The sequence below is a fragment of the Homo sapiens genome, chromosome 3 (genome assembly GCF_000001405.40).
Source record: "Homo sapiens chromosome 3, GRCh38.p14 Primary Assembly".
Classification (NCBI taxonomy): Eukaryota; Metazoa; Chordata; class Mammalia; order Primates; family Hominidae; genus Homo; species Homo sapiens.
Genome location: NC_000003.12, coordinates 169,272,340 through 169,284,734, shown reverse-complemented (window position 1 = coordinate 169,284,734; position 12,395 = coordinate 169,272,340). Strand labels below are relative to the sequence as shown.

General features: G+C 38.6%; 1 protein-coding gene and 1 long non-coding RNA gene across 16 annotated transcripts in view; one reads left to right on the top strand and one right to left on the bottom strand.

The window, feature by feature from the left end:
* MECOM (MDS1 and EVI1 complex locus) overlaps nt 1-12,395 on the top strand; it is a 580,206-nt gene that overhangs the window by 378,978 nt on the left and 188,833 nt on the right. For 9 of the 15 annotated variants that reach the window (XM_047447690.1, XM_047447688.1, XM_047447682.1 and 6 more), the window contains exon 1: nt 11,285-11,366. The exons of the other annotated variants lie outside the window; for them this stretch is intronic. In XM_047447690.1, the coding sequence (XP_047303646.1) occupies nt 11,340-11,366 (27 nt within the window). In that variant the 5' untranslated portion in view covers nt 11,285-11,339. Of the gene's footprint in view, nt 1-11,284; nt 11,367-12,395 lie in introns of those variants that run through there. 15 annotated transcript variants of the gene reach the window in all.
* LOC105374206 (uncharacterized) lies at nt 1,975-6,945 on the bottom strand. The gene is made up of 3 exons (XR_001741018.2): nt 3,506-6,945; nt 2,434-2,516; nt 1,975-2,129 (listed from the first exon to the last, which is right to left on the bottom strand). It is a non-coding gene; the product is annotated as an uncharacterized LOC105374206 (long non-coding RNA).

Genomic DNA, 12,395 nt, shown 5'->3' with positions numbered 1-12,395 from the left:
TGCTTTAAGCTTTGTGAACCTCTATGTCCTTATTTTTTACAAGAGAATTATAAGACCTATCATATACAACTTTTGTGAGCAGCACATTCTTAGCATATATATATGGATATTTATCTATACATTTGTATATACACACACATTTGTGTGTGTGTGTGTGTGTGTGCGCTCATATACTTTAAAAAAAGGATGTCAGCATTGCTTGGAGATTCAGGGCCTATTTGAAATTTAAGATTGTGAGAGAGGCCTAATTATTTGTTAAAGGGGAGAATGTTCCTGGGAAAAATCCTTCTCCTCCACCAGTTTGGAACTTTGGAGACCCTCAGGATTAAGCTGAGGGAAAAATAGACTTCTTAGGCTAGAGTGCATCCCTGCCCAGAGTGATCAGGGATCCTAATCTCAACGCTCAGGATTCCCAAGACCACGAAGGAGGCTGCTAGAATGTGACCCCGTGGTTTCCGAAAGGTAATTATACATGCCAGATGGCAGTATCTGGGAGCAGGCGGTATCGTAAATGCAGTTCCCTGTGTCGTAACCTAAACTTCATTTTCCCTTATCGCATGGTTCTTGGAGTGTGGAAGGCTCTCCTTGGGCAGAGTCTTGATGGGAGAGCTCTGAACTCAGCAGAGAAGACTGGGCACAAAGCCTGGCACCAGCAATTGGCCTGTGCACCTGAAGGAACTATTTCGAATGGGACACTCTTTACAAAGCACCTTTTGTCCAGGCTGACAGTGAGTGTGGGGAAAACTAGTGGAAATGGTGATAAGTTTATTACACCAAAACTTTGATGTAACAGATAAATCTATTATTGATAACACTGCAACCATGAGTCTTGGGAAATGTTTTTGATAACATGACACAAATATTAGTATTACCAACTATCAGTAGAAGCCATTTGCCAGAAAAAAAATACAGGTGATTTTGAACAAAGGCAATGGTGATAGGGGCCAGCTAAGAGGCCAGGTAACTATGTAACTCTATCACCATTTCCTTTTTCAATGAATTGTGGGCAAGGTAAATAATTTTAAGGAACCTACATGTAAATGCATTTCAGAAATAATTTCACTACTTAGAGTAAAATTGATGTATTGTCCATTAAATATGAGAGAGATGCCAGTAAAATTGTACCCAGAAATTCTGGAGATGAGATCTATAATTAGAAATTTCATCTTCACAAATGAAAGTGAGCTGGGAGGTACATTCTTTATCATATGAGTATTATTCTGTCTTATTATTGTTTAAATAATTGAGGCAATGTATTATTTTTCCTGGCAAGCAAGCTATTTTTTTCTTATTATACAAATAATTATCTCTTTTTTTTTTGAGATGGGGTCTTGTTCTGTCACCAGGGCTGGAGTGTAGTGATGCTGCCACATCCAGTTAATTTTTAAATTTTTTGCAGAGATGAGGTCTCACTATATTGCCCAGGCTGGTCTTGAAGCCCTGGGCTCAAGTGATCATTCTGCCTTGGCCTCCCAAAATGCTGGGATTACAGGCATGAGCCACCATGCCTGACCTCTTTTTTTGTAATAAGTGTATTCATTTTCTTCCATAAACCCTCATCCCTTTCTCCCTAAATTCTGTAATCATTTACTGAACATCTATTATATTCTAAGTGCAGTTTAAGTTACTAGAGAGAGATAGAGAAAATAGGTTGAATCTCTGATCCTGAGCAACTCATATAACTTCTTTTGTTCGAATTCTAGATGTGATTGAAGTCAGCATATACTTTGAATAACATTGTCCCCATGGAAAAAAAAGTTTCTCATAGAAATTACCGTAAAAAAGGGATCTCTCAAGTGGGTGGCCATATGCCAGTGGTTGCATTGGGGCACAGAAAAAAAAAAATTAAGAACTGTTTCTACTGTTATACACTCATATTTTTATTTGGATTTATCAATATACATATTATTATATCATATTATATATTAGTACAGTAGCATAATTGATTAATTTATAAATAAATATATTAACATATTGGAGGTGCACACTCAACAAATTTTATTGATGGGTATGTGATGATAAATGCTTGAGGACTACAGCTCTAGATTACATTCTTAATGAGGGCAAAGGGCCTGGCCATCTTGTTTGGCCTTTTACTGTGAATGGCAGCGTCGGTCACATTTGGGCACCTAATAAATATACAGCAAAGAATGAATAAATGAGTAAATAAATAAACAAATACTTTCTCTTTCCTTTACAGCTGCTAAATAAAAGTGGTCTATTTAATAAATTCATTATTCATAGCATGTGGCAATGTGCTAGACAGAATATATTTTATAAAAGACCCTGACACAGACATGTTATCTTCTCCCTAGATTTGGGGTCTAATTGTAGGTCTATGCAGCATATCTGGGGGGATACCTTCTTCAGGGTTTAGCAACTCGATATCCCTCAAATCGCACTTCATGGGCTACTCCTGTGCATATTGCTTACTTGCTTGACCTTGAAAATAAGGTACTGTGGAGTCAACACTTGAAGGAATCCAAGAAGGTTATCTGGTTGATCTCATTTCCTTTCTGGATGAGACAATACAGACAAATAGGCTTATACTCTATTTTAAACAATTCTATATCCTCCCCCAGGAACCTAATTAAGTGCTGGAATTTGGGTTTACTTTTAGAGATAATAGATATTTGACCAAGAAAAAAATATGGTAATGGTAAGTTCCTTAGGTTTATCGAATATTCAGTGCTTAACATTGTTATTCTTTCTCCTCTTCTTTGTTTCAGTAGAGAGGAGGATGTAGGTTTTGTGAATTCATAGAAAGCTTGGAGGTTGGCAATATAGTCCCAAGGAAATAATGTGCAAAACAACAACAAAAACCCAGGTGACTAAAGTTTTGATATTTTCTCTGCAAATGCATTCCTTTTACCACTTCCATATTTACGGTTCAATTAAGTCTTTTTTTAAAAAAAATTTTTTTTTGAGACAGGATCTCATTGTCACCCAGGCTGAAATGCAGTGTTACAATCTCAGCTCACTGTAGCATCAACCTCCTGGGCTCAGGTGATATTCTAATCTCAGCCTCCCAAGTAGTTGGGACTGCAGGTACATGCCACCACACCCAGCTAATTTTTGTAATTTTTTATAGAGATGGGGTTTTGCCATGTTGCCCAGGTTGGCTTTGAACTCTTGAGCTCAAGCTATCCACCTGCCTCAGCCTCCCAAAGTGCTGGGATTACAGGCATGAGCCACAATGCCCAGCCCTCAATGAAGTCTTTTGCAAATAAATCAAACATATGATTTTGATGCATGACAAGACAAGCACAATGATAAAAATGAATTTAAATCTATCTGGGATCATGCTTTAGAGTTCACAAAGCATTTTCACACAATTTATCACAGTCTCACTCTTACAGCCAATCAGTATATGTTTCCCAATTTTGTGGAGAAGAAATGAAAATTTCAATAAGTAAGTGACTTAACCAGGGTCCCGCTATTTCTACACCCAGAGATACTTCCTCTACGTTAGTACTCCTCAGATGGCAATGTGAATGTGATTTACCTGAGGTCCTTGATTAAACGCAGAATCCGATTCAGCATTTCTGGGGTGGGGATGGAGATTCTGCATTTCTCACAGGTTTCCAGTAGGTGATAATGCTTTTCTCCAAAGATCACACTTTGAGTGGCAACATTCTACATCATAATTGGTTCCTATGTGACGTGATTAAAGATAACCATGCAGAGTAGCTTTGTGCAATGTGTTTAGGACATTCCAAGCCAAAGGCTTTGAAATTGGTTATGACTGGTTCCTGCGGGAGGAGAGCAATCATAATACCACGAAGAGTTAATCAGTCATTCTCCTTTCTAAACTTCTCTCAAATATGTTCTCTTCTCGATTTCACTTCTGCTGCTTCCATTCGAGCCATCTGTGTCTCTCTGCTGGGCCATCACAACAGCCCCAGATTGTTGGCATCTCTTATTTGCCATCAGCCTCTCCCACTGGCATCAGTTCTTTCTGTCTAAAATACAATGTCATTATGCTGTTCCCACCTTTAAAGGCCCACAATGGTGTTCAATTTCCAATATGATCAAATGCAGTTTTTGAGCACAGCATATTAGGGACTTCACAGTTTGACCTGTCCCCTTCATCCATACCTCCAGCTACAGCCTACACTGTGGCCACAACCCCTCCCTATTTAGCTTTAGACACTGTATTTCATCTACCCCAAACATCTCACATTTTCCAATATAGTGTGCTTGCTCTTTTGCTTCCATGGAATTTCATTTCTAAATCTGTTCTATTTCTTTACTAGATCTAGTGACAAAAGTTTTTACAATCTAGTGAGATAGCAGGAAATGTTCCTTACATAAATATTTGTTGAATGAATACACTAGATGCCTGATATAACTACAATCATTGTTGGATTAGTATGTGAGGTTGGTAAATAGTTACAAAACTGGAAAATAAAATAAGTAGGCTTGGATATTTGCCTGGATTTCACAAAAAGATTGTTAAAGGTAATCATATTATGGTTAAAGAATGCATGGAAATTGCAGAGCAGTTTATTTAGCTGATCTTGACCAATGGCATGCTTACAGTAAAAGCAAAGGGAGGTCCTAACTCTAGATTGTGCCTCATCCCGTGGCATGTTCCACAGACATTTCTTTCCCTTCTTGCCAATTTATTTCATTCAGAAGAGTAACAGTCTGGGTGACATGACTGATAATGTTAGCTGGCCCATTTGTATTTCTCTCCTCTGCTTCTGTTCTGCAATTTCTGTGAGACTGCTGTTCATTTCTGAGATCTCCATGAAAGAACTTTAAAGGGTGGTGCTTTTAAAAATCTTGACCCTTTTGTAACAACAATGAAATATCAGTCTTGTGTTTGCAAGCAAAATAGCAGAGCTTTTGCCTTTGGGGAAGCAAGAGAAACGACAATAGCCAAAGGGGGCAGTAAGACTGTTCTGTTAGAACATCAGTATTCGTTTTTGTTAAAAAAAGAAAACAAAACAGCAAGTTGCCAGAGAAGCTAATTGCTAAGTAAAATGTAGATTGAATATTGGGCAAGATGTTAAAAACATGTTTGAATAAGTAAATATTAACTAAACAATTAGCAATAGATTTGATTATGCTACATGAAACAAAACGGTATGTGTATAAACACAAAGCCACATACATGCACAAACGTGTAAAATATCTTTAATTTTCAGGAATGAAATTCTCTAGCTTTTCTATTATCAGGAATCTAGAAGTTTCCCTTTTCTTCTTTTGCTCTCTTCTGCTCCCCAAATTTCCCTTTCTGTTCTACTACTACCTACTTACCCGCTTTCCCTCCTCTTTTCCTCCCCTCATTTGTAAAACATATTTCCCACTGAACAACTACGTAACAAGCAACTTACTCTGGTCTTTTTTGTGTAGTGGGGGGAAGGAGGGGAATGTGGTGAGGAAGAAACTGACCCAGCTAATTCCAATGTTCCAGACAGTGAACAAGACATTGGATTCTAAATATAAGACAAAGGCATGATTCAAACCTCAAGAAAGATTGAGATTTGGGGTCAGGAGCCCTAAACCAATTCTAAGTTGTGAAGATCCTGGTTTATTATGGTGGTGGTTGATGTGAGGAGGAGCAAAGCTCCTGCCTAATTTGGAGAGAATGCTTAGAAATTGAAAGTAGAGACCAAGGTAGAAACACATTTGAGTGAACTAAGCCAAATCTGAATGAATGACTTCTTAATCTAACCTAAAATTGTATCAAATGATGGGGGCATAGTTTTTATCCCTTTCATTCAGAAGTGACTCAGCAAGCACTCCTGAGCCTGCCTAGGCCAGAGCACAGTGCAACATAGTTCATATTTGGAATGTTGGTGCTTTCAAAGTACTGAATGTTTTTAGTGTCTCCACACCTCTGGAAAAAACTGGACAGTTCCCAATATATGACTTGTCTCTTCAAGGTTAAATAAATGCTCAAACAGTGAATAAGGCAAGGGACCGACCAGAAGGAGCTTGAGTTCGTCATGCATCAGGAACCTTCATTGCTCCCTTTGGACTGTGCTGGCCAAGACTGCTAAAGCATTTCCATTGACTATTCAGCTCTACCTTTTCCTTATGTTGTTGTCTGTCATTCTAGTACATTGGTTATCAGACAGATTATGAGAGAATTAAGATGAAGAATCTTGTAGTTATATAGATGAACCTGATAAAACTTTCCAGCTAACCTTTGGAAACCATCCTTAGCAGGTACTGTTTCTGAGATTATTTGAAAGCTTTAATTTTCTATGTTGGCTTTTATGTTACAATTCTCAAAATAAATTTGGAAGCCACCAAGTTTTTACTGCATTCATTTGGTTTACTGCATTCACTGTGGTTTAAAGTTTATATTCAACTACTAAAAATAAAATTGATCCCAGTTAAAGGCATTTAGGACTGGATCTAAATGACTTGTAGAACTGGACTTGTCCAATATGCAGACTGAATAAATCACCAGAGATTTTTGGCAAGATCAAGGCCTGGCTTGGGTTGTGCATGAAATTCCGATGATAGCCCAGGAATGTCAGGAGGCTTAAGGCTAATGTGGTCCTTTTAAGAGAGAGTGAGAAATAAGAGAGAATTTCTGTATATGTTGGTACAGAGCCTGATGAAAAACATGAAGAAAATGAACAAATAAGATCCCTATACATTGTTATTAGTTAAGGCGTGCCATCATTCATTCAGTGAATGTTTCTGGAGAGTTCACTTTGTTTCAGGAATTGTGCTTGATACTGTGTTTGTAAATATAGCAACTGTTTTATTTCTCTACTAAGTTGGTCCACTTTAGAAACTTTGAACCAGGAACTTCAGGGTTAGGAAAGAAAACTCTGAGACGTCCATGATTAATGGAATGGATTTGCGCTTTTCTGGAGCAGATGGTACAGGGGCATCTCTTTGGGAGAAACCCTGGTTGGAAGTCAAGAAGAATGTTTTGCGGTGTGAGTTCCCTTGTTACAGTCATATTTAATAGTTAGAGCAGAGTTCACATCTGGGACCCCTTGGAGAATTAGCCATTGTGAGAACAGTGAACCAAGAGGAAACCAAAGTAATAAATATTGGAAGGCTTGATCTGATCTCTTGCCTGTCTTCAAAGGAAGCTTCATTTGTAAAGGACATGCATGATCATGAAGAAAGGACCCCCATTAGGCAATGTGGAAATAATAAAAGACTATGTCCAAAGTCCCTGGTATAGGGAGGTTAGGGGACTGGCTCTGTGCTCAACTGGGAGAGTGATGGAGCTGGACTAAAATTCATCTTTGGTTCCCTTTTCAGAGTCCTCTGCTTCATAGAGCACAATTCTTTCGTTTTAGGCTACATTAAGATTTATCTGAAAAAAACTTCTGCATAGAAACAGAAGAATTAGAACCTGATGAGACAGTTTATGCTCATTCGACTTTGTTTTTTCTCTCTTAAGTTTTTCTTTCTTAAGTAAGAAAGTGTTTCTTATCCCTTTTTTGTTTTCAGGGAGGTAGTATGTTTGAGCTCCTCCTGTGCTTACGGAGTCAAGAAGAAAATGAACTATTCTTGAATACCCTTGAATACCCTTCACCTGTAATACTAAGGATGAAGACCAGAGAAACACATTGAGGCAGATATAATATACATACCCATTTTCTCTCTTACTCTATAATGCTGCCTGATGTAGTTTGAAAGTATCCTCATAATCTAAAAGAGGGGAAGTAGCCTCATGGAGTGAAATCCTGGTACTCCTAGAAAATTATGACAGCACTTGTGTGTGTGTGTGTGTGTGTGTGTGTGTGTGTGTGTAACATAAATTAGCTCATGTTGTATGTCTTTTTGCAGTTTGTGTTTTTCATTAAATATGTTGTGCCTTATAATAATAGTAGATACTTTATATAATGCTCACTCTGTGCTACGCACTTGCTATGCACTTTAGAAACTTCAAATTATTTAATATAGGCTTGCTACATTGTTTTAAATTACATTTAGTTTGGTTAATCTCTAGTTTTTGGATATTTAAGGTGATTACATTGTTTTTTGTTTCTATAAACAATGCTGCACCAGATCTTCTTATGCGTACCTTCTTGGATAAGGGTGAATGGTTGCAAAGGCATAAAGAAGATCTAGTACACATCACCTGATAACAGTGGTTGCCTTTGAGGAGAGGGAGCAGACATAGATTGAGTTGTGGTTCTAGGGGCTTTAGCTTCATATGTCATGTTGTAGACTTTTTTTTTTTTTTTTTTTTTTTGAGGCAGAGTCTGGGTCTGTTGCCCAGGCTGGAGTGCAGTGGCATGATCTCAGCTCACTGCAACCTCTGCCTCCCGGTTTCAAGCAATTATCCTGCCTCAGCCTCCCGAGTAGGTGGGAAAACAGGCACGCGCCACCGTGCCTGGCTAATTTTTTCTATTTTTAATAGAGACGGGGTTTCACCATTCTGGCCAGGCTGATCTCAAATTCCTGATCTCAGGTGATCCTCCTGCCTTGGCCTCCCAAAGTGCTGGGATTACAGGCGTGAGCCACTGCGCCCGGCCATAGGACATTTTTAAACAAAAACATAGTCTCGTATTACTTGTGTGTTAAGATTATTTTTAAAAATAAATGTAAGGCTTGAAGTCCTTAGGCACATAACTTAACCAACCTGATCTTTTTACCCCCCACTTTCAAAATACCACCTACCATAAATACTTGATGTGTGGCTATGGCAGACAAATGCAGTGTTATATGTTACCATTGCTTTATAAAGTGCTAAATATATTCAAGTGACTCTTATTCTAACATAGCTAGATTTCAGTCATCAGTAAAGGCACCTTAGAATCCACAAGAAGTAAATATGCCAGTGAGCATTCCCTAGTTTTAACAAGGCTATCATCTGCGTTAAAAAAAAGAATACATGTTGTGTTAGTAAGAATTCAATTCAGCATGGGAATTCACATATAGCTTTGAAATTTCATATTTACTTATGTAAATACCAGCCCTCTTAATTTATTACAACTTTACTTGTTAGAATCAGGAGTACTTTTGAGAACTGGTATTGTGTCCAGCATTGCCAACCCATTTAATCTGTAACTCACATGGTATAGTTTCTGGAGCTTTGTTTCATATAGCTGTTATAATTATATCATGTGAACACCCTGAACCTGTGAGCATGGAGGCACACACATGATCAAATTGTAGCAGTAAAAAAGAAAAAAGAAGAGAGTGAAATTAAATAGTGTATTTTAAATTGCCATTTGCGTATCATTAGAAAACTAAGATATTTAGCAGGGTAACAATGTTCCAGCACAGGTGACCTTGGAACATTATCAAATCTTCCTGCTCACAAGATATAGCATACTTTAAACGCCCTAGGCAGGAGACCTTCCAAAAACAGACCCAATGACAACACCTAGATAACCATTTCAATCCTAAATAAATTTCAGTGATAAAAATGTGTATAAATATCTAACCCTATGAGGATAGAAAATGTATAGTTGGCTCCTTTCTGTGTAAGAATGTTCCCTTCTGCAGCAATCTGTTTTGAGATCAGGTCAAATGTTGCCAGTTAGTTTTGATTTCCTGGCTTTTTAAAAGTCCTTGTCTTAATGTCACTACTCTGGGCCATTCATACTATTTTAGCAGGTCCTATGGTAAGCATTTCTCCATATAAGTACATGCTTTGAATAACTCAGAGGGGAAACACACACACACACATTTGTGCCTTTTCAGGTAAAAGGACTTCAATGAGAACTCTGCTAGAAACTTTGCTACCTAGCCTAGTTATTGCCCTACCTGTTTTCTGGAAGAGATTTTTTCCCTTCTAAATAAGGATTGAGCCAAAGAAAGAATAAAGGTTCTTTATGGTTTAAATATGCCACTCCCTCTTGTGCACTTTTATGGAGTGATGCCTTTTATTTTAGTTTATATTTTATATCTATGATTACTTCAAAGTCTATTAAGCTCTGGAATAAGAGATGCCCAATAGAACTTTCAGCAGTGCTGAAAATGTTCTGTAATCTGCACTGTTCAATGTGGTAGTTGCTAGTCCTATGTAGCTATTGAGCACTAGCGTGAGTGAGGAACTTAATTTTTAACTGTATTTTAAAAAATTATTTCACTTTAAATTGTCATATGTGGCTAGTTGCTACCGTATTTGACAGTGCATTTATAGATCATTTTATCACATTCATATAGGACTAGAGAAACTTCAACATTTATATTGTAGACTTTTCATAAGGAAAACTACCCCCTTTAGTTCTATTTAGCATTATTTAATGTGCCTCCAGAATTTGAATTCAAACCCTATTCTCCAGGGTTTGTTTTGCTTCAACCTTTTGATTTCTTCCTGCTCAACCCCTGTGCTACATTCAGCTAGTAGGTATTTTTGGCAACTTAGATCCAGAAAACAGTGTAGTGCTAAGAAATAGGAAAATATACTTAGTTCATGATATACATTACAGAATGGCCTTATTAGATTTCTTATTCTCATTATCAAGTTTACATTATCACGTAAAACAAGTGAATGTTTATTGAAAGTGTATCTTTCCTCTATTGAATATCAGGCAGACTTTTAAATTGGCAGTACTCCTCACTCATTTTTAGGAAGCTTTGGAGGCCAGGCACAGTGCCTCATGCCTGTAATCCCAGCACTTTGTGAGGTCGAGGAGGGCAGATCACCTGAGGTCAGGAGTTTGAGACCAGCCTGGCCAACATGGTGAAACCCTGTCTCTACTAAAAATGCAAAAATTAGCTGGGCGTGGTGGCATGTGCCTGTAATCCCAGCTACTTGGGAGGCTGAGGCAGGAGACTCACTTGAACCCGGGAGGCAGAGGTTGCAGTGAGCTGAGATCATACCACTGCACTCCAGCCTGGGCAACAGAATGATACTCCATCTCAAAAAAAAAAAAAAAAAAAAGCTTTGGAGAGGTGTGAGTCATTCCTGCCTGTTGAATTTTAGCTGTGAGCTGGCTTAGTGGCCTCCACACAGCCATGATAGCACACAGGGACAAAACCATCCTCTTCAAGGGTTTCCAAGAGCTAAATTGCCAGTAAGTAGGAACTTCTTGCTGCCCTATGGGGCCTTTGAATGTGATTAGGATGAGCAACGATTCTACCCAGAAGTGGGTAGAATGTTGACGCAGTAAACATGCAGATTACTCGCTGCATACACCCTAGTCTTCACACACACCGCCTAAGATAAAACTGCTATAGAGAAACCGTAGCATTCCCAAGCCCTTCTCTCCGGCTCCTTCTCTTTACTTAGAGGCCAACCAGGATGCGCAGAAAACATAACTGATACCACTTAGATAATTATTGACTAGTTTTAGTGTTGATGGGGGAGGTTGAATTCCTTTTCTCTTCCTGGTTATATTTCACTGATGCAATTTGCTTATTTCTATGTGGAAGCATGATGGTTTTTACTCTTTGTGATGAGAACTTCAGCGACTGCAACAAAGGTAATTTGGTAAAGTGCTCCTACACAGCATATATGGCTTTAACATTTTGAACTATATCCTTTTTAATCTATCTCTGTGATTTTGAGTATGCAGGTGGTGGTGGATATACAAAATCATATAGTGTATTTTGTATACCCTTGCTTTGTAACAAATGTTCTGATGCCTTATTTGTGGCAAAGGGATGTTATAGAAAATGTGTTCTAAGTGCCCACATAAAACGGCATGTGGGCAGCTGAAATACGACCAACTCATGCATGCATTCCTCTTCCTCTTGAATCCTTGGAAAGTATCTCAATTTCCTATTCTGTAGCTGACTACCTGTTTTTCATATTTCTGTGTTTGGAGGAGGTAGATGCTTCAAGCAGGAGTTAAGGGGATGAGGTGTTTCTCCTTGGCCAGCTTGCTGTCCTCTCACCCTTGCTCCAGCTCTTTCCCGCAGTCCTCCCTGCCTCCCCTCCTCTGCCCTCACCAGATGTGGTGAGGTCGAGACCTCCTGCACCCAGCCAGTGCCCACCCTATGACCCTTTTCTTTCTATTTGAAAAGTGTGAGGGATGGGGTAAGGGGAATGACATTGCCAGACAAAGAGAAGTTTTTCAAAAGTGTATGTGCAACTGAATGTGCAGCCAGTGACTTTTGAAGGTCACAGGGGCCGGCCAGGTGTGTAAATGATTTGCTTTCTCCCTTTCTTAACATTCTTATTGGGAAGTCGTCATCCACACCAGCTTCTAAGATGGTCTCCTCAGCATTCAGATGTAATTTAAAATGTATACCAGGACCATGTCAGAAAACGTTTTAAAGATTATCTTTACATATATTGTCCTCATTTGCTATTATGTTTCTTTAATAATATATAATTTTTTTTCTATGACCAGGTTCCTTCTGCCCCTATTTCTTTTACCTCAAAACATTCTGGGGACAATGTAAAGAAAGCTACATTGAGTTTGTCTCACTAACCAGTTGTGTGGTGCACTGAGAGGGCTAAGGTGACTGCTAAGGTTTTCTGTAGCTCCAGGAATCTGTGATTCAAT